This window comes from Homo sapiens, chromosome 5, assembly GCF_000001405.40.
Source record: "Homo sapiens chromosome 5, GRCh38.p14 Primary Assembly".
NCBI classification, from domain to species: domain Eukaryota; kingdom Metazoa; phylum Chordata; class Mammalia; order Primates; family Hominidae; genus Homo; species Homo sapiens.
This window is the reverse complement of record NC_000005.10, coordinates 172,796,803-172,823,511: the sequence shown is the minus strand read 5'-3', so window position 1 is coordinate 172,823,511 and position 26,709 is coordinate 172,796,803. Positions and strand designations below refer to the sequence as shown.

Here is a 26,709-nt window from a genome sequence, read left to right as displayed (position 1 = left end):
AATGGGAAATTGTTACGTACAGGAGCATTGAACAATTAAGTTTATGTGTTGGGGATGGTGGGAATCAGGTTCTTACTTTGGAGATGGGAATTGCAAATACGGAAAAAAGGAAGACTAGAAGAGGCCTTGTCGTTTTGTATTGGAATTGGGGGTATTGGTGTGAACTCGTGGATTTTACCATGTGCATAGAGAGATGATAGATAGATTAGATGGAGAAATGTGTGTGTGTGAATATGCATATATCTTCTTAGCTCTGTCATCTAGGAAGCACTAGTGACATACTTACTGCCCAGATCGTGGTTTCTTAATACCAATCTCCATGTAATAGAACCAGGGGTCCTTGGAGAAGCACAGGTTGAGCATCCCCAATCTGAAAGTTTGAAATAAAAAATGCTCCAAAATCCGAAACTTTTCGAGCACTGATGTGATGCCACAAGTGGAAAACTCCACGCCTGACTTCATGAAATGGCTTGTAGTCAACATGTGGTCAAAACCTTGCTTCTGGCCTGGCACAGTGGCTTACGCCTGTAATTCCAGCATTATGGGAGGCCAACGCAGATGGATCCTGCCTGGCAAGAGATGAGGATCACTTGAGGCCAGGAGTTCAAGACCAGCCTGGCCAACATGGTAAAACCCCATCTCTACTAAAAATACAAAATTAGCCAGGCGTGGTGGTGCATGCCTGTAATGCCGTCTACGCAGGAGGCTGAGGCTCGAGAATCCCTTGAATCCAGGAGGCGGAGGTTGCAGTGAGCAGAGATAATACCACTGCACTCCAGTCTGGTTAACAGAGTGAGACACTATCTCAAAAAACAACAAGCCAGGCACAGTGGCTCACGCCTGTAATCCCAGCTACTCGGGAGGCTGAGGCAGGAGAATTGCTTGAATACAGGAGGCAGAGGTTGCAGTGAGCTGAGATCACACCATTGCATTCCAGCCTGGGCAACAAGAGCGAAACTCCATCTCAAAAATAAATAAATAAAATAAAATAAAACAACAACAACAAAAACCAAAACAAATAAAAATCCCCAAATTATTTAAAATATTGTGTAAAATTTTATTCAGCCTATGTGTATATGATGTGTATAAAACATGAATGTTTTATAGAAATTTCATGTTTAGACTTGGATCTCATCGCCAAGATATCTAATTATGTATGTGCAAATAATATTCTAAAATCTGAAAAATTTTCATGTTTAGACTTGGATCCCATTGTCAAGACATCTAATTATGTATGTGCAAATAATATTCCAAAATCTGGAAAAAAAAATCCCAAATCCAAAACACTTCTGGTCCCAGGCATTTCAGATAAAGGCTACTCAACCCGGAGCTGATTCTTCGGCTGGGCCGGGGGGAAGTGCCAGATGAGTCCGGAGCATCTTTTCAGGTCAGAAGTAAGGACATGCTCAAGGTATAATAGGCACGTGCATGTGAAAGGAAATGGAGCCAGCTTGAAGGAGCTCCCACTGGCCAAATATGGGCCAATCTGGGACAATTTCAACATCAAAACCAAAAATGATGATCATGGATGATTACACATGGAATAAAATAAGAATCTGGGTTTATACAAATATAAACAAGTAGATCGCTACATGGGGGAGAAGGGAGAGCTCTCCCTTGCAGTAGGATGCCAACTAAATAGACATAGAAGGAATGATGGAATTGGAAAACCATTTGACACTCATCCCAGTAATTGATTCAGGCAAGACTCATCCGTGGTGGTGATGCTCAGGGCACTCTTCACATTTCCTCCCACACTCACCGTGCTGGGCTCTTCCTTTCACTTAGACTGAACATATATAGAAGTGCTTTGGAAGCTACAAAGCAACCTACCAATCCAAGGCCTTTGGAGAGTGATGAGAAGTCTGAAGAGCTAACTCTTCGTGCCTATACATATAGTCCACCTCGGAGCTGGGAATCACAGTGACTCCCCTTTGGACAATCAGTGTCTGGCAAAGCACCATGTATACAGTAGGTGCTCATTAGTAACCAGGTATATGGACGGTAGGTGTGTGTTCCCCTCTTCCTCCAGCACCAACCTCTGCATGCCACACACATGCCCACCCATTGGGAGGATACATATGCATGTGTGTGTGTGAGTGCACACCTATAAGTGTGTGCACACATGAGCAAATGAGTGTGTGGGTAGTGTTTCCATTTTATATGAAGTGCTCAGATGCTCCCCACAGCTATGTCAAAACCCACTTTGTCACCAGCCCCTGCGAGGCAACTTTCTAACATTTTCAATGCACATGAGACCTCGGTTCTTTGGACCCTCTTTTCCTGAGCCCCACCTTATCCTTCCTTCATGAGTTCTCACTCTGTCATTGAATCCAGATAAATCTGGAAGTGTCTAATGCCCCTTGCAAGGTACAGTGCAGTCTTGGCTCTTGCTGGGGACTTGCTTGCCTGGCCCTTTTCTGCTTGACACAGTAACCTTTCCTGGGACCCCTGCTCTGTGAGACCCTTGATGTGATGTGCTTTGGGCTGAGCTAGACCTGCATTTCAGTCCCATCCTGGCTCCCGTTTACCAGCCTGTGTGACTCAGGGCAAGTTACTGATCCACTCTGTGCCGTGCCTCAGTTTGCCCACTGGGAAACCAGGGTTAGTAGTGCCCATATCATCATGTCACCTGACTTGGTGGAGGTCCAGAGCTTGGCACAGAGTCAGGCACATAGCATAGACTCAACCAAAGGCAGCTTCCCTCATCCTCCTTCTTTGGGAGATCTCTAGGGAGGGTGTAAGTGAAGGTAGTAGCATTTTGTCCATAAAGGGGAACAAAGGATGTCCAGGAAGGGGCCATTTGTTTCAAGCAGATAGTGGCCCTCTGGTCTATGTAGGGTGTGGGCATTTCCTCCACACTTTTCAGGAGCTGTGAAGTGTGAAGTGTCTCATCCAGCCAGTGCTAACTCTGCCTCAGCAGTCGGCTTGGCAGGCTGCCGTGACTCGGCTCTGCTGGCTCACCTTCTTCTTCTCCAACCCGGAGCCCACCTGCACCCTTTCTTTCGTCTTCTGACAGTTGGGGCTGGGTGGGGCCTGTCCCACCCTTTCCCCCTCCATTCCCCAGCGGGGTTCAGTGCCTGCCCCACCCCTGTGCGCTCCTCTGCCATTCCCTCTCCTTGGTTGGACCTGGGGAGTCTGGGGCCCAAGTGTGAGTGTGTGTCACAGTGCGTGGGTGGCACCGTGTGTGGGCAGCGCTGACGTCCTGGGGCAGGTGAATCTGTTCTCCTGGCTGGTGACTGTGCTGCGCTTCCTCAGGGAGGGCCGGTGACTGGCTGGTTGACAAGCCCAGCATGACGGAGGAGGAAACAGAAACAATCTTTCTTCTCTGAGAAAAAAGGGAGGCCCGACGATTCCTGGCATGATTCCTGTGTCTCTGAAGCAAGTCACTGCACCTCCCTGAGCCTCAGCCTCTTCCTCTGTAGAGAGGGGATCTGTGAGGATTAGCATTTGTTCATTCATTCATTCATTAGCAAGTTGATGATACATCAGTGAGCAGGACAGGAACTCTCTCCTTCCGCATATAAGTGCTTATCACTCTATAGATAATTATAAATATAAATAAGCCCAATCATCAAATGTTCCAGGTTGCTCCAGCCAGATCTCTATTTTCCAAGGTGCCTCCATTGGAGAAAGGCAAAATGAAAAACTGGCTCACTGTAACCTTAAGAGCTGCAGGACAAGACAAGGGGGTCAAAGGTACAAGAGAGAGCTTTGGGGTCAGAGTTCAGGCTTCTAAGCTTAGCCCAGTCAATTTCCATTCCCCACACTGGCCTCAGTTTCCACCTCTGCAGAATGGAGTTAGTGCCCACTTTGCCAGGTCGCTGGGAGGGGTCGAGTGTCGATTCTGTGATCATATTGCAGCACCCCTGCCCTCCCAACTCTGGATCTGGGTCTGGCTGGATCTCAAGTCACATCCCTTCTCTGGGTTTCATGGCCTTGATGGTGAAGTGAGAGGACTGGTCAGGACAGCAACCGAGGCCTCTTCCTGCTCTGTGGCTTCATCGCATCTTCTCTTTGCTTTTCCCTCCTAAACAAAACAGCTACATTTTTAGCAGACTCTGGGCTTGGCTTCCTATGTGGATTAAATTAAATAAATCCTCACCCAAGCCTCAGGAAGTGCTTTAGGAGTTATGTGGGCAGGATGCAGACATCAACTTTATCCTCCTCTCCAGAAAAGTAATACCACCATTGTTCATATTTAGAATCATCAAATGATCATTGTTCTTTCTGCTATAACCCCAAAAATCATATATTCACCAAGAACTCTCATGTGGCCTAAATCAGAGTTATCAAAATAGAATTTCCATTTGTAAAATTTATTTTTTGTTTGCATCAACTAATTAATTAAAAGAATGGTCTATGGTCATACCATACTCTATCTGCCCTGGATACTCCCACCGGATACCATACTCTATCTACCCTGAATGCACCCAGTCTCATCCAATTAAAGGAATAGTATGTATTTAATTTAAAAAGTAACATAAGGCCAGTTGCGGTGGCTCACGCCTGTAATTCCAGCACTTCGGGAGGCCAAGGCGGATGGATCACTTGAGGCCAGGAGTTTAAGACCAGTCTGGCCAACATAGTGAAACCCCATCTCTACTAAAAATACAAAATTAGCCAGGCATGGTGGTGCATGCCTGTGATCCCAGCTACTCAGGAGGCTGAGGTGGGGGGATCACTTGAACCCAGGAGATGAAGGTTGCAGTGATCTGAGATCGTGCCACTGCACTTTAGCCTGGGCAATGGAGTATGACTCTCTCTCAAAAAAAGAAACCTAAATAAAACTAAATAAAAAATAAAAAGTAACATTTAAACAAGATATTCAAACAGGAAAAAGGAAGGCAAGTGTGGTGGTTCATGCCTGTAATCCCAGCACTTTAGGAGGCCAAGGTGGGCCAATCACTTGAGGCCAGGAATTTGAGACCAGCCTGTGACACATGGTAAAACTGCACCTCTACAAAAAATACAAAAATTAGCTGGGCATGGTGGTGTGCATCTGTAGTCCCACCTACTCAGGAGACTGAGGTGGGAGGATTGATTGAGCCCTGGAGGTCGAGGCTGCAGTGAGCTGTGATGGTGCCATTATACTTCAGCATGGGTGACAGAGGATTTTTGACCTGTCTGGAGAAAAAAAAAAAAAAAAAAAAAAGGAAAAGGGTCCCTAACCAGGAAGTGAAATCTCTCTGGCATCCCCCTCCTCCCCTGGTGCAAAGGCCACCACTGCTGATGGTTTCCTTTGTTGAGACTGGGCTCTTTGATGTGCCAGGGATAATCTTGGCCTTTCTTTGGGAAGGCAATGGAGGCAGCGATTACTCTGTCTTCCCAGCCAGGAGCTCTGAATCCTGAAAGGAGCAAGAGCGGATGATTCCCAAGGAGTTCAGGGTCTACCAGAAGGCTAGAGGGATGGCAGCTCCTCAGTATGGCTCAGGATGGCTGCTGAGGACTAGCTCAATTCCTCTGTGGTCTCCAGGGCGTCAAAGCCTTGGGCTCATGGTTCTGCCAAGACAATCTTCAATTCACTTGCAAGAGATCAACTGACCCCTTCAGGGAAGATCTTCTACGAATATTTATTGAGTGACTATGACGGGCCAGAAATAACTCTGACCTTGAACTGAAGTTGGAATGAGGGTGAATTAGGAAATGGAACTGGAAACACCTTTACTGTGTAAGTGACAGGAAGGGAGATAACACGGACTGGACACCTACTCTCTGTCAAGGGCTTTTGTTAGGTTATTTAAAAATTAATTAATTTTTTTTTTTGAGGCAGAGTCTTGCTCTATCGCCCAGGCTGGAGTGCAGTGGCATGATCTCGGCTCACTGCAACCTCCGCCTCCTGGGTTCAAGCGATTCTCCTGCCTCAGCCTCCTGAGTAGCTGGGACTACAGGCGTGCGCCACCATGCTCAGCTAATTTTTGTATTTTTAGTAGAGACGAGGTTTCACCATGTTGGTCAGGCTGGTCTCTATCTTTTGACCTTGTGATCCCAAGTGCTGGGATTACAGTTGTGAGCCACTGCACCTGGCCTTTAAAAATTAATTTTTAAGGACGCAAGCAAAGTAATGTAGGAGTACATTTTCCTTGTACAAATGAAAACTACAGATGAGGCTAAATCTCCCTTTGATCTCCAGCTCCAATCTTGGCTTCCTTCCACCTCTCCAGCGGCAACCCCTATTTTCGATTTGGTGTGACTCCTTCCAACTTTTTTCTCTGCATTTTACATACATGTGTGTTTTGCTTTATTAGTCTTTTAAGATTAATGATATTGTGCATATTATCCAGCCACTTAATTTCTGGGTTAACAATATATCTGGGAGATCAGGTGAGTACAAATCTACAAAAACATTTCATTGGATGCTCCCACACCGCCCCCACTTTGCAGATGAGCAGAGGCTCAGCGAATGTTGAAGTGACTCATCACAGCTGGTGAGTAGTGAGGCAGGATTCAGACAGGGATGTGTCTCTCCAAGTTTAGCATGAATCTGTCCTCTCCCTAATCTGCCTATAGTTTCTTTCTTTCTTTTCTTTTTTTTTTTTTGTTTCCCTGACATCATCAAGTGGGCCATTTAAATAGAAGATTGGTCATAATGCAAAGGACTCATTGGCCACCTCCCTTCCCTGTTAAAATACCTCCATGGCTCCCCAGTGCCCAAGAAACAGAGTCTAAGTCCCTCTACCTGATGAGAAAGGATCTTCTAGACATGGTTCCCGTTAGTTTCTCCACCCTCCCCTGGCCAGGCTCTGCCTCATGGTCACCTTCCCAGAAAGAAATAAACTACAGTACCTGCAGTTCCCTTCGTGCCATGCCGTTTTTCTCCTCCATGTCTTTGCTCATGTGGACTCCATGTCTTTGCTCAAAGAGGACTTCCAGACAAAATCCTCTTTGCCTGGAAGAACTCACCGTAACCCCTCTTTGCCTGGCTTAGTGCAGCTCATCCTTTATGACTTCATACAAGGGCCATCTCTTTTTGGTTGCCCTCCCTATTACCCCAGGCTGGGTTAGTCCCTTCCGCATGGCCCACAATGTCTTGTACATTCCATTCTAATGGCCATTGTATCTGCCTCCCAACCTTGAGGGGGTAGCTTCTTGAAGGGACAGTCACTGTGTCATTCTGCATCTCTAGGTGCCGAACAAGGCTTGTAGACATGGTGGGTGTTGCATACATGTTTGTGGGGCACACAGATGCCTCAAGAGAGAGAATGGTTGAGTTTGTTATCTTGTGTTGGGAGTGATGAAGGGAAAGAGATCAGGTACATAAGATGATAGTACTAAGAAGAGAAACCTAAGATCTCCTGAATCAAATTTAGCCCAAAGGCCATCGCACTACCCAGAACTATGTTACCTGTGTTGGACCATATATTCTCAAGCCATCTCCCAGCTCTACAATTTCTCTTAGCTCTGTTATTTCCTCTTTTTCATCTCTTTCATCTGCTCTTTAGGCTGTTGAAAGGGGATTTGTGTCAAGATTGTCATTTGAAATCAGTCCCATCAAGGACTGGCTGGGTCCCGTGGCTTTATCTCCTTGGTTATGTCCCCTTGTTTCCAAAGGACATCAAAACTCTCTGCCCACTCTTGAAACTGGCAGGGAATTTCTGAGAAAAGGGACCAGGGAATTTGCTTTTCGAAGGAACGTTTCCCTTCTCAAGATAACGGTTAAAACTCATTATCTCCTAAGCAGCATTTAACCTCAAAATTCCAATGTCATCTTTTATTGCAGTAGAATTGGGGGAAGCCCAGAGCTTTCACCCATCTTCTCTCGCTTCCCTTTTCTCCGAACAAATTTGAGGGGAAAACTCTCTTTGTTTCTTTTTTTTCTTATTGTAATTTAATGCCTTTTTTTCGTTATAAAAGTACAAAAGACTATTTTAAAAATACAAAAAGTAGAAAGTAAAAAGAAAGTCCCCCTACTGAGACACCATTAAATTTAGAGTTCTTCCAGGCTTTTTTCTATATATTGCATTTTAAAATAATTATGTGCTATCATTCAGATACCAAAAAGTGTATATAACACATATGTGTAAATTAAAGAACAAATGTAGAATGAATACCCATGTATCCATCACCCAGCTTAAGAAATAGATCATCATCAATATCCAAGAAGCCCTCTCATGCCCCACTCTGATCATGTGCCTCTTTCTACCCACCCTGAGTAGCCACCGTCTTGAATTTGTGCAAATCGTTCTTTTTTTTTTTTTTTTTTTTTAGACAAGGTCTTGCTCTGTTGCCTTGGCTGGAGTGCAGTGGCATAATCACGGCTCACTGCAGCCTCGACCTCCTGAGCTCAAGCAATTCTCCTGCCTCAGCCTCCTGAGTAGCTGGGACTACAGGCATGCGCCACCATGCCTGGCTAATTTTTTATTTGTTGTAGAGACAGAGTTTCACCATGTTTCCCAGGCTGGTCTCACACTCCTGAACTCAAGCAATCCTCCCACCTCGGCCTCCCAAAGTGCTGAGATTACAGGTGTGAGTCACCACGCCTGGCCCCTTTGCTTTTCTTTATATAGTTTTACGATAGATAGATAGATAGATAGATAGAGTCCCAAAATGATGTAATGTTTTTTACCTTTATATATAATTGGATTGTATTATTTTGTAATTTGCCCTTTTCATGTATTGTGTTTGTGAGATTCACCCGTGTTGATGGTGCAGGTTTAGATCATTCATTGTCATTGCTGTACAATAATACACCGTATGAATATACTGTATTTATCTATGCTCCTGCTGATATACATGTGGGTGGTTTCCAGGAATTTTTTTTTTATCTTTAAAACATTTTATTAAGCTAAATGATTACTGGTATTTTTCTATTATGATATACACATGTACATACAGCATATACATGTGTATATGTTGTATACATGTGTATATATGTCTATACTCTGTCTATATATATAAACATTTACCTTTTTAGCCATTGCTTTCTTTCTTTCTTTTTTTTTTTTTTTTTGGAGACAGTTTCACTCTTGTCTCCCAGACTGGAATGCAGGGGCAAAACCTCAGCTCACTGCAACCTCTGCCTCCCAGGTTCATGCCATTCTCCTGCCTCAGCCTCCCGAGTAGCTGGGACTACAGGCGCCTGCCACCATGCTCGGCTAATTTTGGTATTTTTAGTAGAGATGGGATTTCTCCATGTTGGCCAGGCTGGTCTTGAACTCCAGACCTCAAGTGATCCACCTGCCTCGGTCTTCCAAATGCCAGGATTACAGGTGTGAGCCACCACCCCCAGCCTCATTTTAGCCATTTTTAAGTGTATAGTTCAGTGGTATTAAGTACATTCACATTGTTGTACAACCATTGCCACCATCCATCTCCAGAATTTTTCATCTTCCCAAACTAAAACTCCGCACCCATTAAGCCATAACTCTCCATTCCTCTCTCCCCTCAGCCTTTGGCAACCAGCATTCTACCTTCTGTCTCTATGAATTTGACAACTTTAGGGACCTCATATAAGTGGAATGATACAGTATTTGTCTTTTTGTGAGTCTAGCTTGTTTCACTTAGCATAACGTCCTCAAGGTTCATCCATGTTGTTGCATATGTCAGAATTTCCTTCCTTTTGAGGCTGAAAGATATTCTATTATATGTATATACCATATTTTGTTTATTTATCCATTGATGGACATTTGGGTTGCTTCCACCTTTTTTAGCTATTGTGAAGAATGCTGCTATGACCATCAGTATAAAATATCTGTTTGAGTTTCTGCTTTCAATTTTTTTTTTTTTTTAACATTCCCGCTCTGTTGCTCAGGCTGGAGTGCAGTGGCACAATCTCAGTTCACTGCAACCTCTGCCTCAAGAGAGTTCAAGCGATTCTCTTGCCTCAGTCTCCCAAGTAGCTGGGATTACAGGTGTGTACGACCACACCCGGCTAATTTTTGCATTTTTAGTAGAGACGGGGTTTCGCCATGTTCAGGCCAGGCTGGTCTCGAACTACTGGCCTCAAGTGATCTACCTGCCTCGGTGTCAGGCCTCTGAGCCCAAGCTAAGCCATCATATCCCCTGTGACCTGCACGTATACATCCAGATGGCCTGAAGTAACTGAAGATCCACAAAAGAAGTGAAAATAGCCTTAACTGATGACATTCCACCATTGTGATTTGTTTCTCCCCCACCCTTAAGAAGGTTCTTTGTAATTCTCCCCACCCTTGAGAATGTACTTTGTGAGATCCACCCACTGCCCGCAAAACATTTCTCCTAACTCCACCTCCTATCCCAAAACCTGTAAGAACGAATGATAATCCCACCACCCCTTGCTGACTCTCTTTTTGGACTCAGCCTGCCTGCACCCAGGTGATTAAAAAGCTTTATTGCTCACACAAAGCCTGTTTGGTGGTCTCGTCACACGGACGCGTGAGACACTTGGCCTCCCAAAGTTCTGGGACTACAGGCTTAAGCCACCGCCCCAGACCCCTGCTTTCAGTTATTTTGGGTGTATTCTCAAAAGTGGAATTTCTGGATCATATGGTAATTCTATGTGTAATTTTTTGAGGATCCACAGTGTGTTTTCCACAGTCTCTGCACCATGCTACATTTCCCACCAGTAGTGCACAAGCATTCTAATTTCCCCACATGCTCACCAACACCTGTTATTTTCTGGCATTTTTATTTAAAATTTTTTTTTTATCATAGCCATCCTAATGTATGTAAAATGGTCCCAGAATTTTATTTATTTTTTTGAGATGAAGTCTCATTCTGTCACCCAGGCTGGAGTGCGATAGCACAATCTCGGCTCACCACAACTTCTGCCTCCCAGGTTCAAGTGATTCTCCTGCCTCAGCCTCCCAAGTAGGTGGAACTACAGACACGCACCACCATGCCAGGCTGATTTTTGTGTTTTTAGTAGAGACAGGGTTTCACCATGTTGGCCAGGCTGGTCTCAAACTCCTGACCTCAAGTGATCTGCCCGCCTCAGCCTCCCAAAGTGCTGGGATTACAGGCTTGAGCCACCACGCCCAGCTGGTTCCAGAATTTTTAATAAACGACAGCTATGACCATTCTTGTACATATACCCTGATGCACATGTACAAGAGGTTTTTCTAGTTATGTAATTAGAGTTGGAATTGCTGGGTCATAAGATGTGAGTGTTCTATTTTCTTTTTCATTTTTTTTTGAGACGGAGTCTCACTCTGTCACCCAGGCTGGAGTGCAGTGGCATGATCTTGCTCACTGCAACCTCCGCCCCCTTGGTTCAAGTGATTCTCCTGTCTCAGCCTCCCAACTAGCTGGTTTAAGAGGCTGCTGCTACCGTGCCCGGCTAATTTTTTTTTTTTTTTTTTTGAGACAGAGTCTTGCTGTTGCCTGGGCTGGAGTGCAGTGGCACAGTCTCAGCTCACTGCAAGCTCCACCTCCCGGGTTCACGCCATTCTCCTGCCTCAGCCTCCCGAGTAGCTGGGACTACAGGCGCCCGCCACCACGCCCGCCAAATTTTTTGTATTTTTAGTAGAGACAGGGTTTCACCATGTTAGCCAGGATGCTCTTGATCTCCTGACCTTGTGATCCACCCGTCTCAGCCTCCCAAAGTGCTGGGATTACAGGCTTGACCCACCGCGCCCAGCCCGAGTGTTCTATTTTCTAAAGTGGCAGCACCAACGTACAGTGTCATCAAGAATATATTGTCATCACAGTTGCTCCACATCCTAACATTTATTATTGTCAGACTTTCGGTTTTTACCAGTTTGGTGGGTACAGAATGATATTTCAGTGTGGTTTGATTTTGCATTTCCATGAATGATAATGAAATTGAGCATCTGGTCATAAGTTCCTTTGTCACATTTGTTTCCTCTTACGTAAAATATCTGTTTAAGTCTTTTGCCCATTTTTCTATGAGATTATCTTAGTTTTATGAATTGGTAGGACTTTATTCTGGATACTAATCATTTATTGATTATACATTAAAATATCTTCTCTAAATTTATGACATCATTTCATGTATTATGATGTATTTTAAATTATTATTTAAAACAATTTTTTTTTTGAGACGGAATTTCTCTCTTGTTGCCCAGGCTGGAGTGCAATGGTGTGATCTCTGTTCACTGCAAACTCTACCTCCCGGGTTCAAGTGATTCTCCTGCCTCAGCCTCCCAAGTAGCTGGGATTACAGGTGAGCGCCACCATGCCCGGCTAATTTTGTGTTTTTAGTAGAGACAGGGTTTCGCCATGTTGGCCAGGCTGGTCTCAAACTCCTGACCTCAGATGATCCACCCGCCTTGGCCTCCCAAAGCCTGGGATTCCAGGCGTGAGCTACTGTGCCCAGACAAAAACAATTTTTTTTTTAAGAGACAGTCTGGTTGTGTCACCCAGGCTGGAGTGCAGTGATGTAATCATGGCTCATTGCAGCCTCAACTTCTCAGGCTCAAGTGATCCTCCCACTTCAGCCTCCTGAGTAGCTAGGACTACAGGTTGCATGCCACCACACACAGCTAATTTGTATTTTTTATAGAGACAGGGTGTTGCTATGTTGCCTAGATTGGTCTTGAACTCTTGGCCACAAGCAATCCTCCCACCTAGGCCTCCCAAAGTGCTGGGATTACAGGTATGAGCCACTGTGCTTGACCTATGATGTCTTTTAATGAACAGAAATTATTTTATCAAATGTGCCAGTTTTGTTTTTTTTAATCACATACTTACTGTTTCAAAAAATGTCAGTCTTTTTCTTTGTGGTTGCATTTTCTGTATTTTGCTTAAGAAATCTGTCTCTACCCTGAGATCATAAAAATATTCTACATTTTCTTCTAAGAGTTTTAAGGGTTTATTTTCACATTTAGGACTTTGATCCACCTAGAATTGAGTTTTTATGTGTTAAGGGGTATTGTCTTTCCAATTTGGATAGCCAATTGTCCCAGCTTTATTTATGAAATAAATTGTTCTTTGCCCACTAGTCTTCAGGGCATCCTCCACCAGAAAGCAGGTATTCTGGATCCCTGTGTGGATCCATTTTGAGGCCCTTCATTCTGTTCCATCATTTGTTTGTCAATCTCTATGTCATTTTCATACTATCTTACTTGTGGTTGTTTATAGTAAATCTCAATATTTGGAGGCCAAGTACCTGCCCAGAATTCTGCTTTGGGCAAGACTTAGCCTTCCTTGGTCCTTTGCTCCTTCATATAAATTGAAGTTTCAGCTTGTCAAATTATACGAAAAACTGCTTGGGGCTTTTGGTTGAAATAGCATTAGGACACTGGGTGCAGTGGCTCACACGTATAATCCCAGCACTTTGGGAAGCTGAGGCAGGCGGATCATGAGGTCAGGAGTTTGAGACCAGCCTAGCCAATATGGTGAAACCCCATCTGTACTAAAAATACAAAAATTAGCCAGGTGTGGTGGCATACAACTGTAGTCCCAGCTACTTGGGAGGCTGAGGCAGAAGAATCTCTTGAACCCGGGAGGTGGAGGTTGCAGTGAGCTGAGATCATACCACTGCGCTCCAGTCTGGGCAACAGAGTGAGACTCTCTCTCAAAAAAAAAAAGAAAAAAAAGAAAGAAGAAGAAAAAAGAAATAGCATTAGGACAATGTGAAGATAATTGCCTTTCTGTCCATGAACATGGTATGCATCTCCACATATTTAGGTTTTCTTTAATGCCACTTAATATTATTTATAATTTTCTTAAAGAAGTCTTGACAACTGTGCAGGGAAAACCTCTCTCAAACCATGTTTTTCTTCTGCTCTCACACCATCACAACAGTCACCAACACAGCAGAAGACTTCTGTGACCAAATAAATGTGTGGGATTTTCCCCATACACCAAGCAATGGATAACAGCTGGGTGTCCTCCAATTCAATTTCAACACTATCTACCTGGAGATAGTGTCAGATACCACAGAGTGAGGGCTCAGTTCCCAAGACTGGCCATCCTCTCCCAACCAAAGAAGAAGAGATGTGTAGGGTGAGGTATAAGGGAAGGGATGCGGGGTTTCCATGCCCTCCCTGGGTACGCTACCCTCCGGGAACCTCCACATGTTCAGCTACTTGGAAGCTCTCCAAACCTCGTCCTCTTGGGTTTTTATGGAAGCTTAATGATGTCAGTCAGCATTCCTTCCTCCATGATATAGGACAGGACCCTTTCTGGGGAGGGTCTTAAAACCCACAGTCCAAAAGATGGGGGAAGATTAGAGTTCTTCCTTGAAGTAAGTGAAACGAGGTCAGGAGAGTTTGTTTCCTGAGACCCAACTCACCCAACATTATAATAAAACACTGTAACTAGGGCTATGGGATTATGAACCAGGAACTGTGGATGAAAATCAATACAGATCATAACACCACAACGACTTATCTTGGAGACTTTATATTTGTGATTGCTTTTGTAAATATTATCTTGTATCCATGTATAGGTTTCCCAAAAATGTGCTTATAGTCAACTGCATATAATGTGCTTTTCCTCTCCTTATGGTGACTAACCTGCTATTATCGGACACCCACATTTCTGGTTCTCATTTTGTTGCAGTCTCACTAGGTGTTTAGTTTTCCCCTAACAACTTGGGGTTTGGGGGCTGGGCTCAATGGTTTAAGCCTGTAATCCCAGCACCTCGGGAGGCTGAGTGGGAGGATTGCTTCAGCCCAGGAGTTTGAGATCAGCCTGGGCATCATACGGAGACCCCATCTCTACAGAAAAATAAAATCTTGGCTGGTGTGGTGGCACACACCTGTGGTCCCAGCTATTCGGGAAGCTGAGGCAAGAGGATTGCTTGAGCTTGGGAGGTTGAGGCTGCAGTGAGCCATTATATCGCTACTGCATTCCAGCCTGGACAACACAGCGATACCCCATCTGGGAAAAGAAAAGAAAACAAAACAAAACAAAAATCAAATAAAAAAAGAATTTAGGGGCTGGGCGTGGTGGCTGAGGCAGGAGAATGGCATGAACCCGGGGGGCGGAGCTTGCAGTGAGCAGAGATCGCGCCACTGCACTCCAGCCTGGGCGACAGAGTAAGACTCCGTCTCAAAAAAAAAAAAAAAAAAAAAAAAGATAAAAAAGAATTTAGGGTTTTGGGCCTGACAGGCCTTTTAAGATGTCTTTTCAGAGTTTTGCATTTCTGACAACTGGATGGCCCTACCTGGACCCTTGACTCTCCACTCAACCAGTCCTGAGGCCTCCACCCAGAAGTGGACTCAGTACATGAGGACCATTTTCCTCACCCCTACGATTGCATCCCCACCCAGTCAGCAGCACCCATACCCTAGCCCCCTAAACTATCTTCAAAAAACCCTAGCCTCCAAATTTTCTGGGAGGCTGATGTGCACAATAATGAAACTCCGGTTTCCTGTTCAGCAGGCTCTGCGTGTATAAACTCTGTCTCTATTTCCATTCCCCTGGGCAGCAGACGAGATGAACCCACTGGGCGGTTACATACCTATCACTGACCAAACTCCTCTTCTGTGTCTTACACATGTTGGTGGTTCGATATACAAAATTGTTGGGTAGAAATTGTTCAATCATTCATTCTCTCTCTTTTTTTTTTTTTTTTTAAAGAGACAGGGTCTTGCTCTGTCATTCAGGCTGGAGTGCAGTGGTGTGATCACACAGCTCACTGTAACATCGGACGCCTGGGCTCAAGCAATCGAGCCACCCCAGCCTCCCAAGTAGCTGTGACTATGGGTGGGAACAAACATACCCAGCTAATTTGTGGGTTTTTTTCATAGACATGGGATCTTGCTACGTTGCCCGGGCTGGTCCTGGACTCCTGGGCTCAAGCGATCCCCCCACCTCAGCCTCCCAAAGCATTGGACATTCTTCCATTTTATAGATGAGGACCCTGAGGTTCAGAGAGCTAAAGTAACTCATCAGAGACCCCACAACTAGAAAGTACAGATGCAAGATTTAAATCCAAGTCTCTTGCTCCCAGGCTGGCTTTCTTTTCAGCGGTACCCCAGCTTTCTCACCAAGGGACAAAACCTCAGTTTAAAAAGAAAATAACCCCAGGAAAGGTAACACACTGATTTGAGCTCTTTTACACGTCATCTGTGGAGGTGAGTAAGAGGGTCTGAAAGGGGGCAGGGAAAGGATAAAGGTTAAAAGAGCGGCCGGAGGTAAAACAGAAAGTGTGCGGGCTGACACTTTTCACCCAAGGCTGAGATCTGGGCTGGGGGCTGGGCTAAACGTGGGGGCAGGCAGTGGTGACGCAGCTAATGGGAGGGGCAGGGCGGGTCGGTGGTGAGGTCAGGGCTGAGCATGACAGAAGCCGGGGATGGAGGAAGTGATTATGACCAGGAAGTAAGCCTGCTGAAACCACCCTTGGAGGGCTGGCAGAATATTCCTGGCATCAATTGACGTTTAAAAAATAGTAATAACTGCATCTTAAAAATCTCTGTGCCATTCACGTGGTTATTATTATTCCTGTTTTACAGAGAAGGAGACTGAGGCTCAAGACAGCCGAGGGGACTTGCTCAGGGCACCCGGCTAAGACTTGACAAAATCCAGAATGTGCTACCGGTCTTCGTGGCTCCTCAGGCCTCCCCTTCACTGTGCTTCACTGTGTAGTCATCTCGCTTCCTCCAAATGTGGCCGCACAATTTGGAGACCACACAAAGATCATCAGGGTTCTGCTTGATAGAAAATACAGAATACAGGCCGGGCGCGGTGGCTCACGCCCGTAATCCCAGCACTTTGGGAGGCCGAGGCGGGCGGATCACGAGGTCAGGAGATCGAGACCATCCTGGCTAACACGGTGAAACCCCGTGTCTACTAAAAATACAAAAAATTAGCTGGGCGTGGTGGCGGGCGCCTGTAGTCCCAGCTACTCGGGAGGCTGAGGCAGGAGAATGGTGTGAACCCAGCAGGCAGAGCTTGCAGTGAGCCGAGATCACGCCACTGCACTCCAGCCTGGGTGACAGAGCAAGACTCCATCTCAAAAAAAAAAAAAAAAAAAAAAAAAAAAAAAAGAAAGAAAAGAAAATACAGAATACAGAAGAGGTGATGAAAGGATAAAGATGCTGGTAATCTTATCATTGGGTGGATGCAGTATTAACCTCCCCTCTGTTCTGCCACTCCACACCCCATGCTCTGGGCACCCAGGACATAATTCCCTGCTAAAATATCCCCAAATCTATTTCCAGGGCCTACCTAGGCCTCTTTCCACATCTGATCTAACAAGAGTAGACCTAGGGCTGAGGGATGACCAAAGGGCAGCTTTAGGGGTGAGAGTGCGGGCAAGACAAGTTCAGGCTGGGCTGTCCACACAGCTTCCCAGAGGCTGGATCAGGGGCAGGAAGGGAAGGGGTAGGCAGGGATCGAGGACCTCCTTTTGCTCTCTTTCCCTGTGTCCCAAACTGGGAGTGACAGGTCTGGGTGGGGGTATGATTACTGTCTCTCTAAAACCGACATACCTCCAAGGAAGAAATTGTTCAAAAGGGTGGCAAGTGGTAAGCTAAAGCCCCTGAGCCTTCCCCAAGGTAACACCTGTAGAGAGTTTTTTGTGAGTCTGAGCAGGCCCCCAGGGAAGTCCTGGAGGACCGTAGCATCCCAGTTTGGCCCTCAGCCCACTGTTTGTTTTGCCCAGTTCTCAGTCTCTCAGCTTTGGAAATGTTAGGAAGAGAAAGGAGAAGCAAGGCGGCCAGAGTGCTGCGGAGCTGGGAGGGGCGTTTGACAGACAGCGCAGGGTGGGGCGTCAGGGATGCCGTGGACAGAGGAGCTTGGGGAAAAGAGAAGGGGCACTTAAGCGAAGTTTTCAGAAGCCTTGATGGGCCTTGTGTGGTGCAACACCCTCCTCCATCTCTAAAGGAAAACAGCAGTAAAATCTATGTGATTGAGACACTGGGTTCTGGCAATATGGTGGACCTGAACATATATACTCCTTATATGTATATTTCATAATAAAGAAAATACTTTTTAAAATCCACATGTTTGGCAATACTATAGGGTTGAATTTGTGGTTTGGAAGGAGATGGGCTCTGGTGGGATTGACCTCAGTTCAGCAGGAGAGCAGCTGAAGGAGCCAGTACCAAGTGGGTATTGAGTCTGCCTGTCTTCCTTCCTTCCTTCCTTCTTTCCTTCCTTCCCTCTTTCCTTCCTTCCCTTTCTTCCCTTCTTTTCTTTCTTCTGTTCCTTTCTCTTTCCTCCCTCCCTCCCTCCGTATCTTCTTTCCTTCCTTCCTTCCCTTCCTTCCTTTCTTCTGTTCCCTTCCCTTTCCTCCCTCCCTCCCTCCCTCCCTTCCTGCCTCCCTCCCTCCCTTCCTTCGTCCTCTCTCACTCCCTCTCTCTCTCCCTTCCTCCCTACCATCTACCTATTATCTGTCTATCCTTATCTATCTATCTATCTATCTATCTATCATCTATCTTCTATTATTATCTATCACCTACTCACTTTTCATGCACAAAATGGATTATGCTGTTCTGCAACCTAATTTTTAAATTCAATGCCATCTCTTGGACAGCTACATCAGCCCATGATGATCTGTGACATCCCTTCCAAAGTTGGCTGCATGTGTTAGGAGACATATTCTTGAAGGTTGAGGAGATACTATGTCCACATGTGGCTTCTGGGCTGGACAGGCCTGCGGTCATCCATTCAATTTTTTAAAAGGGCATTTGTTGGATTCTTGAAGTAACCTCCCACCCGGTCTCCTTGTCTCCCTGTGAGAGTTTATTCTTGGTACAACACACAGAGTGATTGTGTCTCTCTCCTGCTCACAACCCTCCAGGGGTCCCCATCTCACTGGGGCCCACAGGCCTGCCCTGCAGCATCCACATCATCTTCTTGGGGTCTTCACTCCAGTGTCATGTTCTCACTGACGTCTTCCCTGGCTGTCATGTTGAAAATGGCAACCCCTCTCCACCCAAGCACCCTTCCCCATGCTCCCCTGCTTTATTTTCTCACCACAGTTACCTGACATAGCCTATATCTTACTTACATGTTTGCTGTCTCCCAACTCCCCTACACGCACCCCAGAATGCCAACTCCACAAGACAGAGATTTTTGTCTGCTGGTTTTGTTCTATGTTTTTGGCTTTTTTTTTTTTTTTTTTTTTTGAGTCAGGCTTTCACTCTGTCAACCAGGCTGGAGTGCGGTGGTGTAATCATAGCTCTCTGCATCCTTGAACCTCCAAGGCTCAAGCGATCCTCCTACCTCAGTCTCCTGAGTAGCTGGGACTACAGGTGTGTGCCACCACACCTGGCTAATTTTTGTATTTCGTGTAGAGACAGGGTCTCGTTACATTGCCCAGGCTGGTTTTGAACTCCTGGGCTCAAGCAATCTTCCTGCCTCAGCCCCCCAAAGTGCTGGGATTACAGGTGTGAGCCACTGCACCTGGACTGTCTGCTGTTTTTAAATCTCAGTTATCCCCAGAATCTAGAACAAGCCTGGCACATCAGGCATGGCTCACTAGATACTTGTTGAGGTGAATTGAATCTAGAAGCTGATTTCTGCAGGCGTGTTGCCTCTTGGCTTGTTACAGAGGGAGAAGAACTTCCCATCATTAAACCGTCTACCTCTGACTCTCCTTGTTCTAAGTTGGATTATTCCCCCTTATTACCATTCTCCCAATTTGTCTCACATTTCATCATATTTAGAGCAGTTAACAGTTGGAATGCTCACCATCTCGTTGGATCCCCCACGATCTTCTTGGTAGAATCTTGGTTGGATCTTCTTGGTAGAAGAAGAAATGATTATTGTTGAGCTCTATACTGTTACTCCCTGCTTAAAACTCTCCAAATGAAGGACATCATGCTAAGTGAAATAAGCCAGGCACAGAAGGATAAATTCCGTGTTCTTACTCATAAGTGGGAGCTAATAAAGTTGATTCCATAGAGGTGGAGAGTAGAATAGTGGTTACCAGAGGCTGGGAAGAGAAGTGGGCAAGGAGGGGTAGGGAATGGCTGATTAATGGGTACAAACGGTTAAATAGAAGAAATAAGTTCTGATGTTCTATGGCACAGCAGGGTGACTATAATTAACAATAATTTATTATTTATTTTGAAGCAGCTAGAAGAGAGGATTTTGAAAATTCCCAGTACAAAGAAATAATAACTGTTTGAGATGATGGATATGTCAATTACCCTGATTTAATCATTACAGGTTGTCTGCATGTATTGAAATATCACGTGTACCCCATAAATATGTACAATTATATATTAATACCAATTAAAAGTTTTTAATGAAAATATTAGAAAGATCACGAAAAAAGTCATCTTAATAAGTCACAAATGAATTTAAAAAATAAAACCTCTCCAAATGGTCACCAACTCACTTAAATGAAAACCAGATACTTTAGCCAGGCACAGTGGTGTGTGGCTGTAGTCCCGGCTACTTGGGAGGCCAAGGTGGGAGGATCCCTTGAGCTCAGGAGTTTGAATCAAGCCTGGGCAACCTAGGAAGATCCTGTCTCCACAAAAAAAATTTCTGAAAAGGTACCTTATCAAGGCCCCTCTTCCCAACAGTGCTCCAGGTGCACTGGCCTCCCTCCATGTCCCCAGGCTGCTGACACTTGCTGTACCATCTACCTGGAATACTGTCTCTATTAGCTTTCTAAGGTTGCCATAACAAAATCCCATACACTGGATAGTGTGTGATAGTGAAACAACAAAAGTTTATTCCTCACAGTTCTGGAGGCTGAGAGTCCAAGATTAAGGTGCCGGCAGGTTTGGTCTCTCCTTGGCTTGCAGATAACCATTTTCTCACTGTGTCCTCTGAGGGTCTTTTCTTTGTGCTCACGCATCCTTGGTGTCTGTCCTAATCTCCTCTTCTTATAAGGACACCAGTCATTGGATTAGGGCCCACTGTGATGACTCATTCTAACTTAACTGCCTCTTTAAAGGCCTTATCTCCAAATACATTCACATACTGAAGTATTGGGGGTTAGGGCTTCCACATATGAATTTTGAGGGGGTAGCAATTCAGTCTATAACACTGTCCCAGTTCTTCAAAAGCCTGGTTCTAGCTGGGCATGGTGGCTCACACCTGTAATCCCAACACTTTGGGAGGCTGGAGTGGGAGGATCGCTTGAGCCCGGGAGTTTGAGACTAGACTGGGCAACAAAGTAGGGCCCTGTGTCTACAAAAAAACACAAAACAAACAAACAAACAAAATAAAAGTCTGATTCCTTCCTCCTCAGGATCTAAATATTAGCCTCAGGTGACTTCACTTCCTGGAAGCCATCCCTGGTCACCCCCATCCCATCAGTCCCTCTGTACCATAAGGCCCTGCTGATTTTTTCCCTTATGTACAATCTATTGTTACCACATTTGCCTATCTGCCTACTTGTTTATTGTCTATATCCCCTAGTGGTATCCTGGCAAATATTTAACATCGGCTTTTGGGTGCAGGATGGTTGTGGGTAGTGGGGAGGCTGCCTTACAGCGTCTGCCAATTTCTGTGGTGTAAACATACCCACTGTGGCCAATTTCAAACTACCAAAGTGATGTCACATGGCTGTCCAAATTCCTGAAAATCTAAAACAACCTGTTCTTGTGAGCAGGTGCAGTCTGGCTCCAACTCTCCCACTACCAGGTAGACTCCACTGAGGGCAGGAGCCTTGCCTTCTTCTTCGTAGTCAAGTCTCTAAGGTCTAGGACAGTTCCTAGATCAGAAATATGGCTCAACAACTTGAATTCATTCTTGAATGAATAAGTTAAATTCTTAATCCCAATCTGAAGACCTCCCATGAGTTTGCCCTTTTGGCCACCCTCATCTCTTTGCTGGCCCTTTGGCTGCCTGGGCCCCTTTACTCCCCAGATGTTGTGGTGCACCCCTGGCTATGTCCAGGTTCCCCAAAGGCCACATGTCCTTTCACTCCTCTCTTCCCAGACAGCCCTGAACCTGGATGACTTCTATTAGCCTTCCAGATGCAGCTGATGGCAGGCAATGTTTTTCTTAGCCCTGTGGGGTGACACGATCCCTGGGCTCACCAATTCCCTGGTGCCACCTTCTCTCTGGCCCCTGATCATGGTGGCTGCTTCTTCCTCTGCCTCCCTTGGGGCTCCTGACCCAATTTCCTGGCACACAGCAGGGCTCATGTGAGTAAGTGAAGGCATATGGCAGAATACCAGTTATGGGGCAGGGGTAGAATTGGTGCGGTGGGGAGTACTCACCTACGGCACAATTTGACCAAAGGCTGTACTCGCCCTGAAAGAATGAAGAAATTCTCCATTCATGAAAGTATGAAGAAACTGATGAGCAATTAAATGCCTGAGCCCAGAGTAATGATGATTAAGGAATGCTGGAAAAGGCATGATTACAAGGCTCTGACAGCATTTGAAAGTTCTAAGTTCCAGTGAGTTCAGGAGAGTGCTTTGGGTGGGCAGGGCCTGACTGTTATCAGAGGATGCTAGGCCCCTCGTTCCTGACCCATTAGATCACCAAGAGCTGAGAGTAAGGCAAGTTGTCACCATTTGTGCCCCACCTTACCTCACTGCATTTTTTTTTTTTTTTTTGAGTGGAGTCTCATTCTGTCATCCAGGCTGGAGTGCAGTGGCACTATCTCGGCTCACTGCAACCTCCACCTCTCAGGTTCAGGTGATTCTCCATCTCAGCCTCCCGAGTAGCTGGGATTACAGGTGTGCGCCACCATGCCTGGCTAATTTTTTTACATTTTATTTTTAGTAGAGAGGGGGTTTCACCATGTTGGCCAGGCTGGTTTCGAGCTCCTGATCTCAAGTGATCCACTCACCTCGACCTCCCAAAGTGCTGGGATTACAGGTGTGAGCCACCGTGCCTGGCCCTCACTGCCTTTTGAGAAGCAATTTGACCTGAAGGATGAGAAGGACCATGGGAAGATGTGGGGAAGGGGGTTCTTGCTGGTGGGTTCTTAAGGCAGGAGAGTGTGTTCTGTAAAATGGGATAACAATAAAGATTGCCTCCTACAGTGACAGAGAGGATGAAATGAGATATCATCAGCACAGTGCTTGGGACAGAGCTTGGCTTCCGGTAAACACTCACTGAATGCGGGAGGACAGTGTTCGCATGCGTTTGGCCACCAGAATGTCACCTTCCTGAGGCAGGGTCTCTATATCTGTCCCAGCTATATTTCCAGAGCCTAGAAACAGTGCCTGGCACCCAGTCGGCACTCAATACATGCTTGTTGAAGGCATGAGTGAGCTGATTACATAACCATCTTCTGGTAACAAACCCAGGGAGAGAGCTCCAGTGCCCCGGCGCTTGGTTCCCACGGCTCAGTGCCGCAATCTGTTTATTTCCCCACTCACCCTGCGCAGCCCTAGCAGGCAGTGACTGCACAGAGCTGATGACTCGGCCTAGTACTTCTCTAAATGCTGCCTGGGGCTGGTGGAATCTCCAGGGCCTGGCTCATCAGGGTGAGCTGATGACTTGGGGCCCAGTGCGGCCCACTTTCCCGTTAGCTCAGCCCGGGTCAGCGGGCTGGCTCAACCTTCGGGTTCTGTCCGGGGAAGGGAACAGAACATTCGGCCCCAGGCAGGAAAGACGTTGCACAGGCCCCTGAGAAGCGAGCCCTGGCCTGTCCCACTCCACTGCCTCTCTTTGTTTGTAGCTCACTTCTCTCCTCCCTCTGACCCTGAGGCTGCCCTCATCCTGGAAGATGATGGGGCTGTCCCGAGGAATATAGGCTTAGAGCTGGGGGCAAATTGATGGACGATCTAACAGTACCAATGTGCTGGACCCACGCTCAATCACTTAACTGAGCACTTACTCTGTGTCTGTTCCTATGCTAAATGAAAAGGTTGAATTTCACTTACTCTAAAGAAACACCCAACTATTTCCCAAATACTCTGTTCTTTGATGCCGCTCGGCCTTCACATGGGTTGTTCTTGTTTCAAATGCCTTTCCTGGTAAGTACTCAACCTTCAGCACCCAGCTCCTCTATCACCTCCTCTCAAAAGCCTTCCCCAGCTCACCCAAGACAGTAAAACCACAGTCTTTCCTGGGACCCCCAACATTTAGGCTTGCGCGTCTGTCTCGCACTGCGCCGTGGCACCTCCAAAGCCCAGGCTGGGCTCCATTCTTCTCTTGATCCTGGGGGTCCTTCTCCATGCCCAGCACACAACAGGGGCACTGCAGATGTTGGCTCCTCCCTTCCCAGTCCCTGGCCACTTCCTTTCCATCTCTGTATGCCCCTCGTCCCTTTGTCTGTGTATCATATTTTTGTTTTCATTCTAAGAACAATGCTCATCCTGTTATAGTTATTTGTTAATGTAAGTGGAATGACACAAATGAATCAATGACATTTGTCATTGTCTGGCAGGACACCACACAGGAGGTGTTCAATTATTTGCCTAATAGAATCCATGGTCACCTCCAGCAAGAAATCATCAGAATAGGTAGAGAAGGAGAGGATGAGGCCAGGACAAGGAGGAGAACAGAAGGTGCTGGAACTAACATTTTCTGACCTATGTGTGTCAGGCGTGTTTCATTTATTTCTCACCATAATCCTATTATGATCACCCTTCTTATGGATGGAAAATGAAGGCACAGAGAGGTGAGGTGACTTGCCCAATATCACACAGCAAGTGAGTGGCAGAGCTGGGGTTTGAGCCCCGTCTACCAAGCCCCACCCGTTGGACAGGGAAGGTGGAGTGTGCCTGTCGCAGAAGAGTGCGCAGAGAAGCAAGGAGAGACTGCAAGACACTGCAGGGAGAATGAATGGGTCAGACCCAGACCCCGGGCTGCACAGTCCCTGCCTTCCAGATGTTCTCTGTCATGGCTCCCCGGACAGATGCCCCCTGGCCCGTAGAACCGCCCCAGACTCCTCCAACACACTTAACCACTTTCCGTGGAGACCACTGTGCTTTTCAAGGAGCTTTTTTCTAATATTGACCCCAACCTATACAGTTCCCTTTCACTCCCTGGACCAGGGTTTGGGTTACCTTAACCCCTCAGGATTGCACAACGCCCACTGAAGGCTTCAGGAACCCACAACTTCTCAATAATGCTGAACTGGGTGAAATTTCCCAGTAGCCACCTCCTCCGCCTGACTAATGCTTCTTAGCTTGGCAATGCAATGTCCTATTTTTAAGGAACCCAGTCATTTGGTTTAGATTCTTTATTTGTTTTATTTTAATGACCTTCTGAATCATTCATTTTTCTACTTTTGAACTGATTCACTCTTCGCCACTTCCTTGTATAGAAATCCAACCCCTCCTTTAGGGCTCAGCACCAACACCCACCTTCTCCCGAAAATTATCCTCATACCATCCTCTCTCCAGGAAGAAGTATTCCCTCCCTCTCCCATTTCTGTGCCATTCATCTGGTATTTATTATATTGTCATGGTCATTATCATAATGATAATAATAATAATAATAATGATATGCCAGCTACTTGGGTCATTGCTTTTCATTTTTATCATGACCCCAGGAAGAAAGTGATTATTATTTACATTTTACAGAAAATGAAACTAAGCCTCAGGGAGTTTATACCTTTTGCTCAAGGTCACACAAAGTAAGTGATGCAGCTGAGGTGCTAGCCAGCTGAGCCCAACTCTGAAGCGAGTGTCTTGAAAGGCAGCTGTTTGCATGGGGTGCCTGGTACTGTGATGGGGGCTTGGGATGATTGCGCTTGGGGCTGTGATTTTGGTTTTGATGTCTGTCAACCCCCGCTGGAGACTATGAGCTCCACGAAGTGTTCTGTTTCCTGTTGCACTGTAAGTAATCAATATCTGGGAGCAAATAGCTGATGTTCCATAGACATCGACCCATGGCTGGAGGACTTCCTGTCCTTTCTATAGTGTTAGCAGCTTGAAGCCTTACACAGTTTTGCATTTCTTACAACATCAAGTGCTGGGTAGCAATCTTGATCAATGCTCATTGAATGAAGGAAGTAAGGGACAGGCATGGGCTTGGGGGCTTCCAGTGAGCTTATTTTCTAGCTGAAAACATTCGGTAGGAAATTTTCTAGAATGATCTCTATAGCTCAGGATGAATACTGTCAGATAAGACCTCCTCATCACTTTTTTCAAGTTAAAGTAACAGAATTTATAGACTAAGGGTTCAGTTGAGTTTAGGCAACACACATTTATGGATGTCTACTGTGGGCCAGACGCTTCACTCAAAGACAGCTGTGTGAGCAACCAGCCAGGCAGAGGGCCTTTGGGTGTCCACCCTCGCTCTCACTCCTTCTGGGAGGCAAGCTCCCTAGTGCCCTGAAAACAGGCAGAGTTGGAACCTTGGAAACTGGGGGAGAGAGGGGATAATAGCCATGTCTGGTCAAAGAAGACCAAGCAGTAAAGATCTCAACCTCGTCTGGGCACGGTGGCTCACGCCTGTAATCCCAGCACTTTGGGAAGCTGAGGTGGGCGGATCACAAGGTCAGGAGTTCGAGTCCAGCCTGGCCAACATGGTGAAACCCCATCTCTACTAAAAATACAAAAATTAGCCAGGCATGGTGGTGCACGCCTGTAGTCCAGCTACTCGGGAGGCTGAGGCGGGAGAATTGCTTGAACCCGGGAGGTGGAGGTTGCGGTGAGCCAAGATGGCACCACTGTACTCCAGCCTGGGTGACAGAGCAAGACTCCGTCTCAAAAAAAAAAAAAAAAAACAAAAAACTCAACCTCCCAAAGGCCCCTGAGAAAGGAAACCAAGCAGCAGTGGGAGACCTGGAGGCTGGCTCATCTCTCGTGGGGCATGAAGAGGGCGGGCCTTGGCCACCAAGGGGCCACAGAAGAACTGGATGAGGTGGAAGAGGTCTAGGAAGGATAATAAAAATGAGAGGCCAGTTGGAGGTGGCACATGGAGACAAAGAGGTCCCCTTATCCTTCAATTTCATGCTTTTCTCCTCAAATTCTGTCTTGTCTGCCATCCATATTGCTAGCC

General features: G+C 46.1%; 4 annotated features.

Moving 5' to 3' along the window:
- Window positions 3,121-3,622: an enhancer, noted in NCBI's record as "H3K4me1 hESC enhancer chr5:172246893-172247394 (GRCh37/hg19 assembly coordinates)". NCBI's record gives its function as "activates a minimal SCP1, AML or CMV promoter by ChIP-STARR-seq in naive H9 embryonic stem cells {active_cell/tissue: H9 hESC(naive)}" and the evidence as "EXISTENCE:reporter gene assay evidence [ECO:0000049][PMID:30033119]".
- Window positions 15,400-16,599: an enhancer, noted in NCBI's record as "MED14-independent group 3 enhancer chr5:172233916-172235115 (GRCh37/hg19 assembly coordinates)". NCBI's record gives its function as "activates an origin of replication core promoter dependent on BRD2, BRD4, P300/CBP and CDK7 cofactors, and independent of MED14, by STARR-seq in HCT116 cells {active_cell/tissue: HCT116}" and the evidence as "EXISTENCE:reporter gene assay evidence [ECO:0000049][PMID:35650434]".
- Window positions 16,881-17,697: an enhancer, noted in NCBI's record as "H3K4me1 hESC enhancer chr5:172232818-172233634 (GRCh37/hg19 assembly coordinates)". NCBI's record gives its function as "activates a minimal SCP1, AML or CMV promoter by ChIP-STARR-seq in naive H9 embryonic stem cells {active_cell/tissue: H9 hESC(naive)}" and the evidence as "EXISTENCE:reporter gene assay evidence [ECO:0000049][PMID:30033119]".
- Window positions 20,347-21,255: a transcriptional cis regulatory region, noted in NCBI's record as "candidate enhancer chr5.4451 targeted for multiplex CRISPR interference". NCBI's record gives its function as "positively regulates DUSP1 and STC2 gene expression with high confidence in K562 cells {active_cell/tissue: K562}" and the evidence as "EXISTENCE:mutant phenotype evidence [ECO:0000015][PMID:30612741]".